Source organism: Homo sapiens, chromosome 11 (assembly GCF_000001405.40).
Source record: "Homo sapiens chromosome 11, GRCh38.p14 Primary Assembly".
In the NCBI taxonomy this organism is placed as follows: Eukaryota; Metazoa; Chordata; class Mammalia; order Primates; family Hominidae; genus Homo; species Homo sapiens.
Genome location: NC_000011.10, coordinates 83,403,823 through 83,427,082, shown reverse-complemented (window position 1 = coordinate 83,427,082; position 23,260 = coordinate 83,403,823). Strand labels below are relative to the sequence as shown.

Sequence of the window (23,260 nt, the reverse complement as noted above, 5' to 3'; positions counted from 1 at the left end):
TAGATAGGATAGATAGATAGATAGATAGATAGATAGATAGATAGATAGATAGATAGATTTTTTTTTTTTTTTTTTTTTTTTGAGACAGTCTCACTCTATCAGCCAGGCTGGAATGCAATGGTGCAATCTCAGCTCAGGGCAACCTCCGCTTCCCAGGCTCAAATGACTCTTCTGCCTCAGCCTCCTGAGTAGCTGAGCGCCTGCCACCTAGCCAAGCTAGTTTTTGTATTTTTAGTAGAGATGGGGTTCCACCATGTTGGCCAGGCTGGTCTCGAACTCCTGACCTCATGTGATCCACCCACCTCAGCCTCCCAAAGTGCTGGGATTACAGACATGAGCCACCATGCCCAACCTGAACATATTCAGACTTTAAGTCATTTGAGACTCTTAGAACCATGAAGCCATCTAATTCAATCTAGACTCATAATTGTAGTTGTATTTACTTTTCTAATTCTTCCCATAATTATAGTTTTACTTACTTTTCTAATTCTTCTTATTGAGGATCCTCCCCTTATTCCTGTGGTTTATGTAGAAGCTCCTTCCCCTCATAATAACAGTTAAATAACAGTAAAGAGCTCATATTTTGGAATCAAATGCTCTGAGTTCAAGTCCCAGCTTCACTTACTAGCTTAGACAAGTTCATTCAGCTCTCTGAGTCTCAACTTCCTTATCAACAAAATGAAGACACAAAAATGTCTGCCATATTTATTTATTAGTATTTCACTTTTGTTGTGTTATTTTATCATTAGAAATTTTTCTTTTCATCTTTTGGTAACCAAAGGCAAACTGTCAATCAAGATTTCCGATGATCACAGGTAAACCAGTGTTACCACTGTGAGCTAAAATAATTATTGCTTAAAGACAAGAAGATTGATGTCTTGGTTCATCTGAGTGGACTTCTGTAAGTAAATGGTTAGTGTGTGCTGGGTTTGGGAAGATACTGGTGTAGTAGAGGAAAAAATTATTCTTTGTACACCCTCCTGGGTTCTCCATATGGGGCCCTGTAAACTGGACTTGCAAAAGAAATATTATTGAGAAAAACATACAAATTTATTTAATATAAGTTTTACATAACATGGGAGTCTTCACAAGGAAATAAAGATCTGAAGAAATGGTTAAGCCTGAGTGTTTTTACACTAAGTTTGGTGAGGAGTAGAAAGTGATAAAATAAAAGGGTATGAGCTAAGGGTAGTAAATTGGGGAAAACTGATCAAGGCCTGTTTGTTCATATTATTCTTGGCATGTTCGGAGATAAGGATGCTCCTTTCTTCCAGGTATAGGAAGGGCACCTCTCACATGAGAGTCTTATGACCTGCTTCAGGAGAGAAAACCTGCTGTTTCTCAAATTCCTTCAGCTTAAAATATTCAATACATGAAGGCACCATATTTTGAGTAGCCTATTCTGAGCCATTTTTCTAGAAAGGACTTGAGATCACTTATTATTTACAGCAACCCCTAGGGAGGTATTGACCCAGAGAACACCCCTTCCAGTTTGGTGTTCTGAAATACAGTTTTCAGACATTCTCCTTCCTCTGTAAATCCCTTGCCAACAGGGCCATGGCTTCTAATATGAATGATGGAAAGGCAGTCTGCAGGGCTATGGCTCAGTTTCCAGGAATAAATGTGTGTGATCTGTCTACCATCTGGATCCCTCCAATGCTCTTTCTACCAGAGTTGATCTTTGAAGGATAGTTAAGCATAATCCAAGTAAAGGAAGTTTGTGAGAGAGCCAAGTAAAAAGAGGTCCCCAGAGAACCTCTGACCAACCTGCACTGGGAGGAGTGCAAACTGGGGTGGAGCCTCAGGAAGTTCACACCATTTGCAGTGGGGAGGAGCCTGGCCTCTTCTGTTCTTGGGTGGTCACCTGGGAATCCAATCTGTGAGATTAGTTTTGTTTTTTTTCCTTTTCACCCAATAAATTCCATTTTTTGCACACTTCTATGTATTCATGAGCTTCATCCTTCCTGGTCATGTGACAAGAACCCCATTTTTAGCTGAACTAAGGAGAAAGCAGAAAGTCCTACAACATTTGGAGGACAGTAGTGTCTCAAGGGTATAGGGTGAGCAAAGTCCCTGGTTGCTAAGTTTCCTATCAGAAAGCATGGTTTAAAAAAAAAACTCCATTAAGAACCACAGCATTTCAGAATAACCTTTTTAAGTAAAAGTTCACCCATCAACATCTCAATGACTGCATTTCTTCAGGAAGTAATAAACTTTTAATGGCATTTGGATTCAAATCTCAGAGTGAAGTACTCTCTGACATTTGTAGTTTAGGGTTTGTTTTTCAAGTCTTTGCATTTCGTGGTTAAGAGATGTTTTTCTGACTAAGCTTGATAATTCTTTCCCTCCCCCTGCACTTTCAACTAAATGAGAAACAACCTGATAATCTCCACAGTTTTGGTTCTTAGCTTTTCATTATTATCACCCTAAACTCTATAAATAGTTTCAACCCATTATGCCTAAATCTCTATGTAAACGCCTACCTCCCTGCCTTTGCCAATGTGACATTCTTTGCCAGTTGTCTTCTTTCCAGCCTCTCCTCAATCTCCATGTATATGTATCACTCCTACCTGTCTTTCTTCCAAGTTGACTGTGAGCATTTTTCAACCACTCTTAAAACTTCTGCCTTATATTAGTGTCATGGTAAAGAATATCAGCTTTGGAATTTCTCTGTGTTTGTATTTCAACTCCAGCATTTATTACATGTACTACCTATGCTAAATTACTTAATCTTTCTAAACCTCAGGTTCTTCATTTATAAAATATAATGTAACTGCCCATTGGGTTCACCTTTCCTGCTGCCTACCCAGAGCCTATTTATTAAGAAGGGAATTGCAATGGCAAAAGTAATTCATGCAGAGAAGTCTGTGTGGGAAACCAGTTTTATTATTACTCAAATCAGCCTCCCAGAGCATTCAGGGATCAGTTTTTAAGGATAAGTTGGCAGGTAAGGCCTAGAAAAGTGGGAGTGCTGATTGGTCGGTTTAAAGATGAAATCATAGGGGGGTCGAAGTGAGTTATTCTTGATGACTTCTGTTCCTGGGTGGGATCGCCAAATTGGTTGAGCCAGATTATTGGCCTGAGTGGTGTTATCTGCTGCGGGATTGCAAAATATCTCAAGCACCTATCTTAAGTTTTGCAACAGTGATGTTATTCCCAGGAGCAATTTGGGGAGATTCAGACTCCTACAGCCAGAGGCTGCATGGCCCCTGAACCACAATCTCTAATTTTGTGGCTGATTTGTTAGTCTGACAAAGACAGACTGGTCCTCAGGCAAGAAGGGGTTTTTTTTGGGAAAAGACTATTAGCAATATTTTGTTTCAGAATTTAAACTATAAACTAAATTCTTTCCCAAGGCCTATGCCCAGGAATGGACAAAGACAGTTTAGAGGTTAGAAGGAAGATGGGGTTGTCATAATTTCCACTGTCATAATTTCCTCAATTATGATTTTTGTAAAGGCAGTTTAAATAATAATAGCACTTGAGTCATAGAATTCATTGTGTAGATTAAATTAAAAAATGATTTTCACACACGACCGTGTGAAGAGACCACCAAACAGGCTTTGTGTGAGCAATAAAGCTTTTTAATCACCTGGGTCTAGGCAGGCTGAGTCCAAAAAGAGAGCCAGTGAAGGGATATAGCCAGCAAAGGGATATAGGGGTTGGGCCGTTTTATAGGATTTAGGTAGGTAGTGGAAAATTACACTCAAAGGGGGTTGTTCTTTGACTGGCAGGGGTGGGGGTCACAAGGTGCTCAGTGGGGGAGCTTTTGAGCCAGGATGACCCAGGTGAAGGAATTTCACAAGGTAATGTCATCAGTTAAGGCAGGAACAGGCCATTTCCACTTCTTCTGTGATTCTTCAGTTACTTTGGGCCATCTGGATGTATACAAGCAGGTCACAGGGTATATGATGGCTTAGCTTGGTCTCAGAGCCCTGACATTCCTGTCTTCTTATATTAATAAGAAAAATCACATAAAATAGTATTGAAGTGTTGGGGCAGCAAAAATTTTGGGGGTGGACAGAAGTTGGAACACTAGCTGCTTTTTTAGCTACCTTATCAGCCTATGCGTTGCCCTGAGCAATGGGATCTGATGCCTTTTGACGGCCCTTGCAGTGAATGACTCCAGCTTCCTTTGGAAGTAAACCGGCCTTGAGAAGAGTTTTTATTAAAGAGGAATTAATAATGGAGGACCCTTGCATAGTGAGGAAACCTCTTCTTGCCCATATAACAGCATGGTGGTGCAGGATATGGAAGGCATATTTAGAGTCAGTATAAATATTGACGTGCAGTCCTTTTGGAAGAGTGAGGGCTCAAGTTAAGGCAATGAGTTCGGCTTGCTGAGAGGTAGTGGAAGGGGGCAGAAAGTATATGTATCAGGTGTGAGGAAGAAAATAGATTATGTAAGTTATGAGAACTGTAGAGAGTGAGTTGAGCATAGTTTGTGATTTTGAGGGCCTCTAAAAGTATTAAGGCAGTGGCAGCAGCTGCATGCAGACATGAGGGCTAGACTAAAACAGTAAGGTCAAGTTGTTTGGATAAAAAGGCTACAGGGTGCAGTCCCAGCTCTTGTGTAAGCATTCTGACCGCACAGCCCTGCACTTCAGCTGTGTGTAATGAAAAGGGTTGGGATGAGTTAGGGAGAGCTAGTGTGGGAGCAGCTTTTAGGGCTGTTTTTTAAGGAATGGAAAGGGGAGTGGGGAAAGGATTTAGGATTTATGGGGTCAGCTAGGTTTATCTAGAACAGAACGGGTTGTGGAGGGAGGTATTGAGAATAGGAGAGTATATGGGTTTGGCACCATGGGGTGGATAGGCAACACAATTTGGTTGATAAGGTGCAGATCCTGAATTAATCTGTAAGGCTTGTCTGGTTTTAGGACAGGTAAAACGGGGGAATTGTAAGGAGAGTTTATAGGCTTTAAAAGGCCATGTTGTAACAGGCAAGTGATAACAGGCTTTAATCCTTTTAAAGTGTGCTGTGGGATGGGATATTGGCCTTAAGTGGGGTAAGGGTGATTAGGTTTTAATGGGATGGTAAGGGGTGCATGATCGGTCACCAAGGAGGGAGTAGAGGTATCCTATAGTTGTGGATTAAAATGGGGAGATACAAGAGCAGGATGTGAAGGAGGCTTTGAACTGGAGAAAAGGGTGGCAATGAGGTGTGGCTGTAGCATAGGAAGCAGATAATTTAGTTAAAATGTCTCGGCCTAATAAGGGAACTGGGCAGGCAGGGATAACTAAAAAGGAGTGCATAAAAGAATATTGTCCAAACTGGCACCAGAGTTGGGGAGTTTTAAGAGGCTTAGAAGCCTGGTTGTCAATACCCACAACAGTTATGGAGGCAAGGGAAACAGGCCCTTGAAAAGAAGGTAATGTGGAGTGGGTAGCCTCTGTAATGATTAAGAAGGGGATGGACTTACCCTCCACTGTAAGAGTTACCCAAAGTGTCTGTGATGGTCCAGGAAGCTTCTGAGGTGATCGGGGAGCATCAGTCTTCAGCCACTAAGCCAAGATCTGGGAAGGAATCAGAGAGCCTTGGGCCAGAGTTCCAGGGGCTCTGGGAGCGGCTGCCGGGTGAGTTGGACAGTCTGATTTTCAGTGGGGTCCTATACAGATGGGACATGGCTTAGGAGGAATCCTGGGCTGTGGGCATTCCTTGGCCCAGTGGCCAGATTTCTGGCACTTGAAGCAAGATCCTGATGGAGAAGGTCCTGCAGGAATGCTTGACTGCTGCGGCTTAGGCACATGCGACTTAGGCATTTTGAAGTTCTTGTGTGCTGGAGGTGCGGCTGGGTTTTGTCTCACAGTAAACGCAAGTAATTATAACTTTTCTCTATTATTGTACACCTTGAAGGTGAGGTTAATTAAGTTCTGTTGTGGAGTTTAAGGGCCAGAATTTAATTTTTGGAGCTTTATTTGATATTCGGTGTGGATTGGGTAATAAAATAAAATGCATATTCAGAATAAGACGGCCTTCTGACCTTTCAGGGTCTAGGGCTGTAAAGCATCTCAGGGTTGCTGCCAAATAAGCCATGAACTGGGCTGGGTTTTTATATTTGATGAAAAAGAGCCTAAATGCTAACTGATTTGGGAGAGGTCAGATAAAGAAAAAGGAGCATTAACCTTGACTATGCCTTTAGCTCCAGCCACCTTTTTAAAAGGAAATTGCTGGGCAGGTAGGGGAGGGCTAGTAGTGGAATGAAACTATAAGCCAGACCAGGTGTGAGGAGGGGAGGTAATAAAAGGATTATAGGGTTGGGGTGCAGAGGCTGAGGAAGAATTGGGACCTGGCTTGGCCTGGGGAGGAGCAGCCTGGGGAGGAGGGGAGAGGTCAGATGGGTCTGTAAAAAAGGAAGATTGGAAAGACTCAGCAATACTTGGGTTTGGGCCTGAGGGGACAGGCAGGAGGGAAAGAAGGAAGATTTGGGACAAGTTGCATTGGGAACATTGACTGGAGAGGGACGGCTGTGTAAAAGAATGCCTGGACATCAGGCACCTCAGACCATTTTCCCATTTTATGGCAAGAATTATCTAGATCTTATAGGATGGAAAATTTGAAAGTGTCGTTTTCTGGCTATTTGGAACCATTGTCGAGTTTGTATTGGGGTTAAGCGGCATTGCAGAAGAAAATAAGGTGTTTAGGTTTTAGGTCAGCTGTGATTTAGAAGCAGTTTTAAGTTCTTGAGAACACAGGCTAAGGGAGAAGGAGGAGGAGTGGAGGGTGAAAGGTTGCCTATAGTGAAGGAAGCAAGCCCAGAGAAAAGAGAGGGTAGAGACATGGAGAGAAGGGGGTGGGGGATGCTTGCCCCCAGGAAAGTGGAGAGAAAAGAGAGGGTAGAGACACAGAGAGAAGGGGTGGGGGGGGGTGCTTGCCCCGCAGGAAAGTGGAGAGAAAAGAGAGGGTAGAGACATGGAGAGAAGGGGTGGGGGGTGCTTGCCCCCAGGAAAGTGGAGAAGGGGTAGGTATATGGAGAGAAGGGGTAGGGGGTGCTTGCCCCCCAGGAAAGTGGAGAGAAAAGAGAGGGCAGAGACATGGAGACAAGGGTTGGGGGGGCTTGCCCCCCAAAATAGCCATGCTTGCCACTAAGGGTGAAGGATCAAGGCAGGCATCCCCATGGTGATCAGACACCTCTGAAACGTGGATGAATAATCAAGCAGGTGTCCCCACAGTGATTAAACACCAAGGAAAGACTGTCTTCCCGAGTCCGTGACCGGCGCCAGAGTTTTGGGTTGACGGATAAAACACATCTCCTCTGTCTCTACCAGAAAAGGAAAGGAACTTAAATTAAGAGAAGGGAGAGATTGAAAGATGGTGCCAAGATTGAAAGGAGAAAGAGGTTGAGGGATAGTGAGAGATGTTGGAGAAGAGAGTAAAAAGAGGCCGCTTACCCGATTTAAAATTGGTGAGATGTTCCTTGGGTTGGTTGGTCTGAGGACCCGAGGTCATAGGTGGATCTTTCTCACGCAGCAAAGAGCAGGAGGACAGGGGATTGATCTCCCAAGGGAAGTCCCCCGATCTGAGTCATGGCACCAAATTTCACTCGTGTCTGTGTGAAGAGACCACCAAACAGGCTTTGTGTGAGCAACAAGGCTTGTTTATTTCACCTGGGTGCAGGCGGGCTGAGTCTGAAAAGAGTCAGCGAAGGGAGACAGGGGTGGGGCCATTTTATAAGATTTGGGTAGGTAAAGGAAAATTACAGTCAAAGGGGGGTTGTTCTCTGGCGGGCAGGTGTGGGGGTCACAAGGTGCTCAGTAGGGGAGCTTTTGAGCCAGGATGAGCCAGGAGAAGGAATTTCACAAGATAATGACATCAGTTAAGGCAGGAGCAGGCCATTTTCACTTCTTTTGTGGTGGAATGTCATCAGTTAAAGCAGGAACTGGCCATCTGGATGTGTACGTGCAGGTCACAGGGGATAGGATGGCTTAGCTTGGACTCAGATGCCGGACACCTACATCATTAATTGAAGGGAACTGATAAACTTCATTATATCAATAATGAGAGAGGACATGTGCAATGTGTTTTTCTAGGGTTTTTTCCTCTGGAAAAGCCTGATTTTATTTTTCACCAAGGGCCTGGTTACTTCCCATCTGTGGCTCTGAGTATACCTCATGACTATAAGTAATAAACTGCTATTGTTTCATTACTCTTGGGTTTACAGAAAGTCTAGATGCCATAATTCTGCTGCTGCCCCAACTAAGACTTGCAGGAGGAAGAGCTGATGTTTGTGGGTATTTTAAAGCATCTTTCTCAACCCGTTTATTTCTATCATTTAAGGCTGAGTTTATGTGCCTAGGGGAAGAGTCAATGAGAGCAAGAAATTGTCATCCAAATGGCTCTGGACACCAGGTGGTTACCCAATGGGTAGGCATGGGTTGTTACCTGTGAAGCACATAAAGGAAGCACATTGAGATTTCTGTGCACCCAAATAACTGGGCCTTCAGAGTACAGGAGATATATTTGAATTGTACAGTTACACGTTACAGGGAAGTGATTTCATCTCAAGGAGTGCTCCTTTTTCAAAAAATTGACAACTCAGTCAAAGTAGGTGATGGTCCATCCATGTGTTTAAATGTTTAAAACCGTATTCTCCCATTCAAGACTTGAAACTTGGCGGCACTTAAGTACTATGTGTTAAAGGGTTACATTGGTTATAGCGAAGTTCTGTAGGTCCTTTGAAAGAACATTTTGTCTTGCTTATCTTTCTCTTTGTAACATTGATGATCATTGACTAGATCTATTATATCATTTGAAGCTGCAAAATGGTGATTTCTGATTGTATCATTTCTTCGTTTATTAAGTGGATACTTCTATAAAAACAGATGTCCTATCAATTTTCTGTTACCTTTAGGTAAAATATGTGGAAGAAAGAGCATCCTTCATAAATAACTAAAAATGTTTCTAAAGTATCATAATTATGGCTTTAAACATAAATGATATATTCTAACCAATTGTAGACATTATTCTTCTTGATGATTAAATCCTCACATCTTTGTCAGATGGAAGCCTCTTCAAGTTGGTCCTGAGTCCTTTTGCCATGACCTCATCCCAAAAGAACACTCCCTCACCCAAGCTGTACAGGATTCTTATCGGTAAAGCCTGGCTATAGATTATTTAAGATCACAAATTTTATTTTATTTTTTTCTTTCCAACTTCTATTTTTGGTTCAAGGGGTACATCTGTAGGTTTGTTACATGGCTAAATTGAATGTCGTGGGGGTTTCGTATACAGATAATTTTGTCATTCAGTTAATAAGCATAGTACTCGATAGGTAGTTTTTCAATTCTCAGTCTCCTCCCAACCTCCACCTTCGATTAGGCCCTGGTGTCTATTGTTCCCTTGTGTCCATCTGTATTCAATGTTTAGCTCCCACCTATAAATGAGAACATGCAGTGTTTGGTTTTCTGTTCCTGCATTAATTGACTTAAGATAATGTCTTCCAGCTCCATCCATGTTACTGCAAAGGACATAATCTTGTTCTTTTTTATGACGATGTAGTATTCCAGGGTATATATGTACCATATTTTCTTTATCCTGTCTACTATTGATGGGCATCTAGGTTAATTTCACATTTTTACTACAGTGAACAGTGCAGCAATGAACATACACACGCATGTATCATTATGATAGAGTGCTTTCTATTCCTTTTGGTACATGCCCAATAATGGGATTCCTGGGTCAAATGGTAGTTCTATTTTAAGTTCTTTGAGAAATCTCCAGACTGCTTTCCACAGTGGCTGAATTAATTTACATTCCCATTAGCAGTGTATAAGTGCTCCCTTTTCTCTGCAACCTCACCAGCATCTATTACTTTTTGACTTTTTGGTAATAGCCATTCTGACTGGCATGAGACGGTATCACATTGTAGTTTTGAGTTGCATTTCCCTAATGATCACTGATGTTGAGCATTTTTTTACATGCTTATTGTTGCCTTACAAGAGCTCCTGAAGGAAGCAACAACTGGTACCAGCCACTGCAAAAACATACCAAATTGTAGAGAACATCAATTCTATGAAGAAACTGCATCAACTAACAGGCAAAATAACCAGCTAGCATCATAATAACAGGATCAAATTCACACATAACAATATTAACCTTAAATGTAAATGGGCTAAATGCCCCAATTAAAACACACAGACTGGCAAATTGGATAAAGAGTCAAGATCCATTGGTGTGCTGTATTCAGAAGACCCATCTCACATGCAAAGATGCACATAGGCTCAAAATAAAGGGATGGAGGAATATTTACCAAGCAAATGAAAAGCAAAAAAGGAAGGATTGCAATCCTAGTCTCTGATAAAACAGACTTTAAACCAACAAAGATCAAAAAAGACAGAGAAGGGCATTACATAATGATAAAGAGATCAATGCAACCAGAAGAGCTAACTATCCTAAATATATATGCATCCAATATAGGATCACCCAGATTCATAAAGCAAGTTCTTAGAGACCTACAAGGAGACTTAGACTCCCACACAGTAATAATGGGAGATTTTAACACCACACTGTCAATATTAGACAGATCAATGAGACAGAAAATTAACAAGGATATTCACGACTTGAACTCAGCTCTGGACCAAGTGGACATATATATCTGCAGAACTCTCCACCCCAAATCAACAGAATATGCATTCTTCTCAGCATCTCATCACACTTATTCTAAAATTGACCACATAATTGGAAGTAAAACACTCCTCGGCAAATGCAAAAGAACGGAAATTATAACAAACAGTCTCTCAGACCACAGTGCAATCAAATTAGAACTCAGGATTAAGAAACTCACTCAAAACCACACAACTACATGGAAACTGAACAATCTGCTACTGAATGACTACTGGGTAAATAATGAAATTAAGGCAGAAATAAAGATGTTCTTTGATACCAATGAGAACAAAGACGCAATGTACCAGAATCTCTGGGACGCAGCTAAAGTAGTATGTAGAGGGAAATCTATAGCACTAAATGCCCACAAGAGAAAGGAAAGATCTAAGATTGACACCCTAACATCAAAATTAAAACAACTAGAGAAGCAACAGCAAACAAATTCAAAAGCTAGCAGAAGACAAGAAATAACTAAGATCAGAGGAGAACTGAAGGAGATAGAGACATGAAAAACCCTTCAAAAAATCAATGAGTCCAGGAACTGGTTTTTTTGAAAAGATCAACAAAATATATAGACCACTAGCCAGACTAATAAAGAAGAAAAGAGAGAAGAATCAAATAGACACAATAAAAATTGATAAAGGGGATATCACCACTGATCCCACAGAAATACAAACTACCATCAGATAATACTATAAACACCTCTATGCAAATAAACTAGAAAATCTAGAAGAAATGGATGAATTCCTGGACACATACACCCTCCCAAAACTAAACAAGGAAGAAGTCAAATCCCTGAATAGACCAATAACAAGTTCTGAAATTGAGGCAGTAATTATTAGCCTGCCAACCAACCAAAGTCCAGGACCAGCTGGATTCACAGCTGAATTCTACCGGAGGTACAAAGAGGAGCTGGTACTATTCCTTCTGAAACTATTCCAAACAATTGAAAAAGAGGGAATACTCCCTAACTCATTTTATGAGGTCAGCATCATCCTGATACCAAAATCTGGTAGAGACATAACAAAAAAAAAGAAAATTTCAGGCCAATATCCCTGATGAACATCGATGCAAAAATCCTCAATAAAATACTGGCAAACCAAATCCAGCAACACAGCAAAAAGCTTATCCACCATGATCAAGTTGGCTTCATACCTAGGATGCAAGGCTGGTTCAACATATGCAAATCAATAAACATAATCCATTACGTAAACAGAACCAATGACCAAAACCACATGATTATCTCAACAGATGCAGAAAAGGCCTTCAACAAAATTCAACACCCCTTCATTCTAAAAACTCTCAATAAACTATTGATGGAACACATCTCAGAATAATAAGAGCTATTTATGACAAACTCACAGCCAGTATCATACTGAATGGGCAAAAACTGGAAGCATTCCCTTTAAAAACCAGCACAAGACAAAGATACCCTCTCACCACTCCTATTCAACATAGTATTGGAAGTTCTGGCCAGGGCAATCAGGTAAGAGAAAGAAATAAAGCGTACTCAATTAGGAAAAGAGGAAGTCAAATTGCCTCTTTTTGCAGATGACATGATTGTATATTTAGAAAACCCCATCGTCTCAGCTCTAAATCTCCTTAAGCTGATAAGCAACTTCAGCAAAGTCTCAGGATACAAAATCAATGTGCAAAAATCACAAGCACTCCTATACACCAATAATAGACAAACAGAGAGCCAAATCATGAGTGAACTCCCATTCACAATTGCTACAAAGAGAATAAAATACCTAGGAATCCAACATACAAGGGATGTGAAGGACCTCTTCAAGGAGAACCACAAACCACTGCTCAAGGAAGTAAGAGAGGACACAAATGGAAAAACATTCCATGCTCATGGATAGGAGGAATCAATATTGTGAAAATGGCCATACCGCCAAAAGTAATTTACAGTTTCAATGCTATCCCCATCAAGCTACCATTGACTTTCTTCACAGAATTAGAAAAACTACTTTAAAGTTCATATGGAACCAAAAAAAGAGCTCATATAGCCAAGACAATCCTAAGGAAAAAGAACAAAGCTGGAGGCTGAATTCAAACCATAAGCATGGCTACAGTAACCAAAACAGCATGGTACTGATACCAAAACAGAGATATAGACCAATGGAACAGAACAGAGGCCTCAGAAATAACACCACACATCTACAACTGTCTGATCTTTGACAAACCTAACAAAAACAAGCAATGGGGAAAGGATTCCCTATTTAATAAATGGTGTTGGGAAAACTGGCTGGCCATGTGGAGAAAACTGAAACTGGACCCCTTCCTTATGCCATCTACAAAAATTAACTCAAGATGGATTAAAGACTTAAATGTAAGACCTAAAACCATAAAAACCTAGAAGAAAACCTAAGCAGTACTATTCAGGACATAGGGATGGGCAAAGACTTCATGACTAAAATACCAAAAGCAATGGCAACAAAAGCCAAAATCAACAAATGGGATCTAGTAAAACTACAGAGCTTCTGTACAGCAAAAGAAACTATCATCAGAGTGAACAGGCAACCTACAGAATGGGAGAAAATTTGTGCAATCTGTCCATGTGACAAAGGCCTAATATCCAGAATCTACAAGGAACTTAAACAAATTTACAAGAAAAAAACAACCCCATCAAAAGTGGGTGAAGGATATGAACAGACACTTCTCAAAAGAAGCCATTTATGAGGCCAACAAACATATGACAAAAAGCTCATCATCACGGGTCATTAAAGAAATGCAAATCAAAACCACAATGAGATACCATCTCATGCCAGTTAGAATGGCAATCATTAAAAAGTCAGAAACAACAGATGCTAGAGAGGATGTGGAAAAATAGGAATGCTTTTACACCATTGGTGGGAGTGTAAAATCGTTCAACCATTGTGGAAGACAGTGTCGTGATTCCTCAAGGATCTAGAACCAGAAATACCATTTGACCCAGCAATCCCATTACTGGGTATATAACCAAAGGATTATAAATCATTCTACTATGAAGACCCATGCACACGTATGTTTATTGCAGCACTATTTACAATAGCAAAGACTTGGAACCAACTCAAATGCCCATCAATGACAGACTGGATTAAGAAAATGTGGCACATATACACCATGGAATACTATGCAGCCATAAAAAAGAATGAGTTCATGTCCTTTGCAGGAACACGGATGAAGTTGGAAACCATCATTCTCAGCAAACTAACACAGGAATAGAAAACCAAACACCACATGTTCTCACTCATAAGTGGGAGTTGAACAATGAGGACGCATGGACACAGGGAGGGGAACATCACACACCAGGCCTGTTGGGGGGTGCAGGGGAAAGGGAGGGATAGCATTAGGAGAAATACCTAATGTAGATGACAGGTGCAGCAAACCACCATGGCATATGTATACCTATGTAACAAACTTGCACATCTGCACATGTATCCTAGAACTTAAAGTATAAAATAATAAAATAAAAGATAGTGCCTATATACAAATTATAAAATGCCTAGAATAGTGCCTAGCACTATGAAGATATTAAATAAATTGCCAAGAGCTCATACATTACCTAAACTGTCATGTGGGAAATAAGGAAGCAAAGGGACCCATCCCAGCCGTAGTCACTCTGGATACCACAACTCTTCTAATGATCCAACAGCACCCCTCATTCCTCAGTTTTTATTTCTCCCAGCAACTCCTTGTTCCCTCACTCCTGTATAAGCCTCATGGCTCTGTCACTGGCTTCTCTGCCTAACTCTGAGCTTCTCTGTCCTCTGTGTCTCACTGAGTGCCTTCAAATTCCTTGACAGAAAGGATTTGATTGGTGTAGTTACTCAGGGCTCCCTTCCCCTAAGGCACAGATCTCAGACCAGACCACCTCTGAAGCCACTGGCCTCTCTTACTTCCAGTCTTTAGCAGTGACCATGGCTGCAACGTCCCATGACTCAAAACCCAGCAAATTCTGCCCTAGGAAGCTGGTAATAGGAGTGTAAGCATTTTGAATTATGGTATAGTGACAAGCATTGCAGTTATTAAATCTAACCCTCTTATTTTATAGATGATGTCTTAGACCTCTTGTACTGCTCTAACAAAATACCTTAGACCTGTCTTCCTTGCCTGTTCCTGTTTCCTCAGTGTCCAGTGCCTCGTACAACAATAAATATCTGTGGAATAAATAAATGATTAAAATGCCAATGAATGAACAATGGCGGAATAGGACTTAAACCAGTGAAGAGTATGATGAGAGTTCAGGGAAAGTAGCCATACAGTAAGAATCCTCTTATCTGAGGATATCTGGGCCAATAATCCATTAGTTAGTCAAAAAAAATTTTGATCAAATCAGTGAATCATAGAAAAAAGTACCTTTATATAGAGTGCTACGTGTCCCCAGTATCTCTTTTCCCAATCTTTCTTGAAGTCATGGAAACCTGGATTTGAGCTGGGCATGTGGCCTCCTAGGCATTTTCCAGCCTGCAAGCAACTAAACATGGCCATGGAAACAAGTTCTGGCCAATGGGATGTGACAAAAGTGACAGGTACAACTTTTACTATATCGTGTCCAGTTGTTTCACCTATACCTTTGATATCAATTTTTATAAACTCCTCATTTTTATTGAAGGTTTAAAAAATGCTGCTTAGTTTTTGTGAAAATAAGCTTTATTTCATCAGTTTACCTATTATATTGAATTACATGATAACAATAACTACAATTGGAATAAACAGTTTAGGATCAAATAGACCTAATTCTTGGTAAGCAATAACTAATAATGCGTTAAAAATAACTCGATTAGTGGGAGTGAAAGTCTACATGCAAACAGAGTAGCCTCTTAGCTGCAAGAACTTCACTTCCCACGGGTATCAATCAGAACATTTGCAGATGAGATAGAGAGCCCCAGTTTACCTGGTTAGGCAGTAACATGAAGGTTCGGAGAGTTTCTACTACAAAAACAAAAGGCACAGGAATACTTCTGGGGTCTTTGGGGGAAAAAGATGAGTAGAAGAGATACAGCAACACTTCCAGAAGTGACCAGGATGAGAAAGAAAGGCATCTTAGAAGGCTTCTCTCTTCTGGGCAGTGATCACCCCTCAGACTAGTCATCAGTGGGCAGTCTCACTGTTGGTCACTACTGATATGCCCTTTCCCACAAGCTCAAAGGTTCTTAAAGAGACAGTTCCTCTGATCTCCTGCAGGCTTGCTTCCTGCCATCTGGAAAAAAGTGCTGGTGGCCATGAGGCTGGGCCAGTGCCCAGCTCCTTATATACTTAGTAGATATAAGGGAGTTTTGCACTTCATGAGGAGAAAGGGAATGTTAGGATCACTGGTCTTTTATTCCATGGCATGCTATGACTTCATAAACAATATATATGCAAAGAAGCATGTTAAGCTTGGCTGACTTGTCCCTGAGGCTGTGTGCACTTAAGAACAGCCTGTACTGCCTGGGAAGTTGGACCCACTCCCTCTGTGGGATGTTTGCCCAAGAAGGAACAGCACACCTGCTCTGTCCCTGTGGCCTGGGAAGGAGGGCTTGCCAAAAACAGACTTATCAAGAAACAGGAGACAGGAGGGAAAAAAAGGCAGTGACATTAAGAGCCAGGTAAGTGCAGGCCTCAACCAGGAGACAGATACACACATACTGAGCACAAATTCTGTAAATGGCTGTGGATTGGATATGTGTGTCACTCTCCTGTTAGGTGTGTGGGTCAGCTTGCCCCTGAGAGCTGCCAGGTCTTCTGTGCTCTCATAGCTATTTTAGTATGAGTCACAGTAATCTACGTGCTTTTTGTCTCCATTTACATAAAACTGAGACCCCGTCAAGGCCAGGGACTGCATCTATACATGTGTTGTTTGGTTCTCAGGAACCACCATGTGCATAGATGCTCATTAATCATATGAATGAATGGATGGATGAATTAATAAAACATTATATAGTTTATAGAGCATTTTTATAATCATCGTTTCACCTGATTTTCCCTCAAAACCCTCCTGAGCTAGAAACAGCAGGCTTTATTATCCTCACTTTACAGATGAGAAAACAACCTCAGAGAGGCCAAAGTAACTGCTAAAGTAAATGAGAAAACCTTAGCTCACAGTAGAACTTCAATCTCAGATTTCCTTCCCAGGGAAAAAATAAAAATAAAATGAGACACCATCACCTCCTGATGTGGAAAAGGAGACAGATACCCTCTAGTCTTTCTCCCTGGCTTTGGAGATGAGGACCCCAAGGCCCAGAGAGCCAGTTAGTGGCAGATCCCCTGCCTCCCAGTCCAACACACCGTCTTGTTTAGCATACAGAGCCTCTCTCTGCTTCTCTGGATAGTAGTTCAGTTGTTTGGATACTGATACTGACAGAGAAGGAAATGATGATAAAATACCAGGAGAGCTGGCAGCATGGCATCTGTGTCCCTGTCCACTGTGCCAAGAGCAGAGAGGCCAAGTATTCACCAGCCCAGCTGTGTCAGCCACTGTTTTTGGCCCTGGTAGCTGAGGGACACAACGAACCCAAAGGGACTGGGTTCCTCTGTCCAGCTTCCTCCTCTGGGCTCTTAGCAGCCTTTCCTTGACTTTAATTTTAAAAAAAAAAAAAGAAAGAAAGAGAGAGAATCAAGTTTATTCTCTCACCATCACACCCAAACTGCATGAGCAGATATTTGTCACAGTAATGGGAAAACCATGTCCATAATCAGTGCTTTAGCCAGAAATAGCTCTCATTGCCTCCTTCCTAAGGCACTTCACTATGAATACCTGTTTGTCAGTGTGGCATAAAATCATTTGACATGAAGGGTCATCTCAGCTGGAAAGTTACCTGCAGCCTCAAGTGCCCTGCTGACACCTGGAAATGGTGAGTGAGCTTGCCCAGGCCTGGAACTGCTCACAGACCTCAAAGAGCAGGTGGGCTCTGGGCAGAGGAGAGGGGAGTTGCTGCCAGGCCTGGGCCATGAGACTACATCTAGAGTCCTTATTCTGGTGGGAGAAAACCTCGCCTATTCCCACACATCTCATTCCAATGCCTGGAGTGGGCACAGAAGGGCTGTGTATGTACTGAGTTGCCCCTTAGAGACCTAGTCACCTACCCTATGGAAGTATATGAGGCTCTGTTCAGGATTGGGCAATTCCTGAGGCTTTTGCTCTCATGATCCAGCTCTTGGGTCTGTGCAACTTTCTCTGTTTTGCCCCTCATCACCCCAGATGCATACTTCAGTCCCTTCATCTGTTTCCCCAAGATAATTGACTCATACTAAGCATTTGGTGCACTTAACAGAGCATTTGGTGCATCACAGAGAGGGAAGGCTTCTGCTATCTCCTGGGTCCAATCTGAACCACATTCCATAACAGACACTACGAGACTCCAGCCCACATACCCTTGGGCCACTTTTGAGTCCACAAGCAGCTGCAATACATAGTTTGCAGAACACTTCAGCTTTCTACCTGCACCTCTACTTCTCCACCTGCAGGCTTTCTCCAGGACACTAAGCTTGCTCCACTCATACAGGGCAGCCCAGAAGCACCAGCCAGGAATAATCATCTTCAACCAATGAGGAACAAGAGTCTGGAAAAATACTCCAGTTTCTCCAACTCCAGATGAGGAAATGAGAGAGCTATTTCTGGCCAAAGCACTGATTATGGACATGGTTTCCCCATTATTGGGACAAATATCTGTTCATGCAGTTTGGGTGGGATGGTGACTCCAGATGAGGCAATTTAACACAGTTCCTTGGTCCCCTTGGGGCTGAGCCCCAGTTGTCCCTGTGAAGCCTCCTCACTAAAGCACCTCTGGGGCATTCTCCCTTCTCCGCCACTCTCCCCACTCCCTCACTTGTGCTTCCCCATTTCCCTTTCACAGCTGCTGAAAGTGGGAGCTAGAAGGCCTGGCTTCTAGTTCATTTGTACTATCCACTTATTGGCCTTGACCAAGTCACATGCATTTTAACATCTGTTTAGTTATCTCTTAAAAGAAGGAGTTGGACTAAGAGAGCTAAGAAGTGTAGATAGCGGAAAAAGCCACTACTTGCTGGATAAGCAAGTCATGCCCCCTCCAATTCCTCAGTTTCCCCAGTTTCCTTGTCTTGTAAAGCAAGGGAGTTGGTCCAAATGACCTCTCACCTTCTCCAGCTCTAAAAGCTACAAAATCTATAACCTGCCGCCACCACCCCATAATGTTCAGGGCTAATTACCAAAATGTGGAGTGAGAAAAAAGGATATGATTGGTCAAGCCAATGTTGTTTTCAAGGTAGGGCAATCTGCCCTAAGACATGTGGATAACTGAGAAGAAAAATGTGTTGTATCTGAGATTCACGCACCCCACAGGGCACACAGAAGGAAAGACATCCGTGAGTGGCCCTGACCAGAAATGCTGAGATAGTTCTTGATGCCTCCAGAAATTTCACTGCTGAGTTCTCCACATCACATAATTCACAAGTATAAAATTGCAAGTAAAGAAATGAAAGGCCAGGCGTGGTGGCACATGCCTGTAGTCTCAGCACTTTGGGAGGCCAAGGTGGGCAGATCACCTGAGGTCAGGAGTTCAAGACCAGCCTGGCCAAAATGGTAAAACCCTGTCTCCACTAAAAATTCAAAAATAACCTGGGCATGGTGGCACATGCCTGCAATCCCAGCTACTCAGGAGGCTGAGGCAGGAGAATTGCTTGAACCCAGGAGGCAGAGGTTGCAGTGAGCCGAGATCGTGCCACTGCACTCCAGCCTGGGTGAGAAGAGTGAGACTCCATCTCAAAAAAAAAAAAGAAAAGAAAGAAAGAAAGAGCACCTTGTTCTCCAAGATGACCTGATCACAAAGCATCCTGGATGCTATCTCTGAAATATAGGCACCCCTCACTGCTGAAAGGTAACCATAGAAAACAAAAGGAAAAGCCATTTTCTTTGCCTTAATACTGTTTTATAGTTATTAAAGCAATATGTGATCACTGCAGAGAGTGTTTAAATTACAGCACAAAGGAGATCCTGCTGTCTGGGTCCTGTGGTGGGCTGCAGGTCAAGCTGTGGGACACTAACCTGCTGGGCAAATCCCTTCATCTCCCCCGGCCACAGATTCCTCACTTATAAAATGGTGGCATTAAAACCTACCTTGTAGACCTATTGTGAGGATCATACTACGTGTGTGAAGATTTTACACACTATAGCTGCTTCCTTAGACTCTAGAAAGGCAGTGTGCTTGGTGGTGGCTCAGCACACAGATGTTGCAGCCTGAAAGCACAGGATCAGCCTCCAGCTGCCTTGTGCTGATTGTATCTGGAGCAAGGTCAGGTGTGGGGACTCACGCCTGTAATCCCAGCACTTTGGGAGGCTGAGGCAGGAGGATCGTTTGAGGCTGGGGGTTTCAGATCAGCCTGGCCAAGACAAAAAACTAGCTGACGATGGTGGTATGGGCACCTGCAGTCCTAGCTATTCAGGAGGCTGAGGTGGAAGGATCACTTGCACCCAGGAGTTTGAAGCTGTGGTGAGCTATGATCATGCCCCTGCATTCCAGCCTGGGTGACAGAGGAGACCCTGTCTCTGGAAAAGAAGATCTGGATCAAGTTCTTTACCTCTGTGCCTCAGTGTTTGTTACCCCCAAAATGAGTATGATAATAATAGCTACTTCATAGGGGATTTGGGGAGATTAAATGTGGTTATTTATATGAGGCTCTCAGATCAATGTCTGGCTGAGATAAGCTCTCGGAAAAACTAAGTTATTATTTCTATTATTTGGCATTTGCTCCACGAGGGCAAGAATGTTGCTCTATTTCCAGACCCTAGTACAATGCCTGACACATAATACTCAATCAATATTTATTTTCACTGCCTCCTCCCTCATCCATCTATGTGTTTCTTTCTCAAAACCTCTGTAGTCCCCTCAGTTGCATCTCAGCCAGCATGGACACTGGGATGCATCCCAATTCATTTCCACTTATGTGTGCCTCTCCTCAAGCATGGTGCCCAGTCCTGGAAAAGAGTGGTGGGTTGAATGAAGGGTCCAGAAATTATGGCCCTAGCTGGGACCATTTTGGACACCATGTGTGGATGCAGGCTGAACTGGGCTAGAGGTATGTCTATTCAAAACAATGTGGCCTTGCTAAGAGGCAGTGACAGTTGGGGCCACTACTACTGCCTGTGTTGTAAGACATCAGCCCAGAAGTCTGCAAACAGTGAGAGTGGGCCTCCGCCCAGGGACGTTTCAGGCAGATCTTTCTATGCCTACAAAGGCCAAAGAAAAATGAAAACTGCCACCAAAGCTACTTGGCACCACATAAAAAAACAGCTAAACAAAAAAACAAAAAAACTACTGGCTGAATTCAACAGTAATTACAATTTTCTACTGAATGCAAAAGGCTGCCTTGTGTAATAGAAGAGCACTGGACATGGCCTAGGAAGGCTCATGTTCTGCTATGAATTTTCTTTTCTTTTTTTTTTTTTTTAAGATGGAGTCTCACTCTGTCACCCAGGCTGGAGTGCAATGGCACGATCTTGGCTCACCGTAACCTCCTCCCCCTGGTTTCAAGCAATTCTCCTGCCTCAGCCTCCCGAGTAGCTGGGATTACAGGCATGTGCCACCATGTCCAAGTAATGTTTGTATTTTTAGTAGAGAAGGGGTTTCACCATGTTGGTCAGGCTGGTCTCGAACTCCTGACCTCAGGTGATACACCTGCCTAGGCCTCCCAAAGTGCTGGGATTACAGGCCAGGCGTGAGCCACCGTGCCCGGCCATGCTTCGACTTTTCTAAGCCTCAGTTTTCTTATCTGGGAAATGGGGCTAGTACTGTCTATAATATTTCCTCTCTCACTTATTGTGAAGATCACAATAAGAAAATGAACCTGAAGAACCTGGAAATTGTAGAGGGCTGCATAAGTTTAAGGTAGATCAAAGTGTATTTTTGTATTTCTTCTTTAGCCACAAAGAAGAACCTTAACAATCGCACCTTCAAACCTCTCAGGGCTGTTAGCTACATCAGGGCTCCCACCATATTTCCACCTCATAGCACAGGGGCCGGCAACTGTAGGTGCTTAATAAATTCACTGGCATTTCCATGTTCCTAATCTTTAGGACCCAGGGAAACATTATTTCCTGAGGTGAAAAAAGTATAATGTAGTGACTCAGACAGACCTGGGTTCAAATTCAGACTTGATCACTTAATAGCTGCCTAATCCTAATCAGCTAAGGACTCTGAACCTTCCTGTCCTCATCAGGAAATTGTGGATGATGGGCCCTTATCATCCCAAGTTGCTGTGGGAGAAAACAATGAGATAACATACTGTATTAGTCCATTTTCACACTGCTATAAAGAACTTCCCTGAAATTGGGTAATTTATAAAGGAAAGAGGTTTAATTGACACAAAGTTCCACATGCCTGGGGAGGCCTCAGGAAACTTACAATCGTGGCGAAGGGTAAGCAGGCACCTTCTTCACAAGGCAGCAGGAGAGAGACAGCATGTGAAGGAGGAAATGTCAACCACTTATAAAACCATCAGATCTTGTGAGAACTCACTCACTATCTCAAGAACAGCCTGGGGGAAACTGCCCCCATGATCCAATCGCCTTGCCCTTGATTCCTCCATCAACACCTGGGGATTATAAATCAAGATGAGATCTGCGTGGGGACACAAAACAAAACCATATGACACAACACATAAAATGTAGTTGTTATGTCTCCAATGTCCTTCTCAATTCAAGAAAAGTTAGAACCACAAAGTATCTTTAAAATTCTTTATTTCAAGTTTATAAGGAGAAATCTAAATCCAAGGAGTTAAGATGACTTGCCAAGGTCACAAAGCTCTCAGATGTGCCCCTTATAGGTTGTCTTCCACCTGGAGAGCTGGTGTTTTGGGAGAAGTTGCAGCCCACACAAGGACCCTGGCACAGGTCGGTACCTGCTCTCTCCCAGACAGTACAAATAGTGCCATCTTCCTGCTGCCTCCCTCCCTGAGGTCCTTAATAGGGATTATAACTATGGGGCTTTTGTGTAGTTTTTCTTATTTGGGATCCTCTGATCAGCAGATTTCTTCATAGCTATTCACACCTATGAAAGGCATTTCAAATGCTTGGGACTGAAGGAACACAAAACCAGGAAGTGTGACCATTATCCCTATTTTTTTTAATGATCCTACATTTTAATTACCATAATCCCCATCTGCTTTTTTTTCTTCAATAAGGAGAAAAGTACTGGGCACATATTTTATGATGTTTCTCTAAGCATGCAAAGCACTTGGATTCTGCATAGCTCATTGTATTTCCCTAGGAATACGCTAATTACATTTACCCAAACCATGTGCTCCCATTCCAGTTGAGAAACGTCCACACTGAAAAGCTTCTGCTGCAGGGAAGAGCAGATGAAAAACGCAGATAAAAGAAGAGCTCCTTGTTGGGGGAAGGGGCCCGACTGCCAACCGCTACAACTCCTTCTTTGCTTCTCACAGCAATGGAGATCAGGGATAGATAAATGGAGGAATGAGAAACTAATAAAGTGTAGACTAGGAGCCCCCAAAGTGTTCGCTGTAGAGCACAAATTCTCAAGGACAATAGGTATTCAACAAAAATGTGGGCATGGGAGGGTACTCGAATTTAAGAAATGTTCTGTTAAATAGAATTACAACTATTCTCAGAGCCTGTAACATGAGAATATGCATATTATGAAATCAGGCAGCTGTTTTTTTAGAGAGGGAGGCATAGAGAGAAATGTAACAGAGAGA

At 42.4% G+C, this 23,260-nt stretch overlaps 1 long non-coding RNA gene across 1 annotated transcript in view; it reads right to left on the bottom strand.

Annotated features, from left to right (window-relative positions):
- Positions 1 to 693: 693 nt before the first annotated feature.
- The window catches only part of CCDC90B-AS1 (CCDC90B antisense RNA 1), a 140,270-nt gene continuing 117,703 nt past the window's right edge, over positions 694 to 23,260 (bottom strand). Inside the window, exons 2-3 of the long non-coding RNA NR_186344.1 lie at positions 7,390 to 7,547; positions 694 to 5,514 (exon numbers count right to left, since the gene is read on the bottom strand). This is a non-coding gene — a long non-coding RNA (CCDC90B antisense RNA 1). The remainder of the gene's footprint in view (positions 5,515 to 7,389; positions 7,548 to 23,260) is intronic.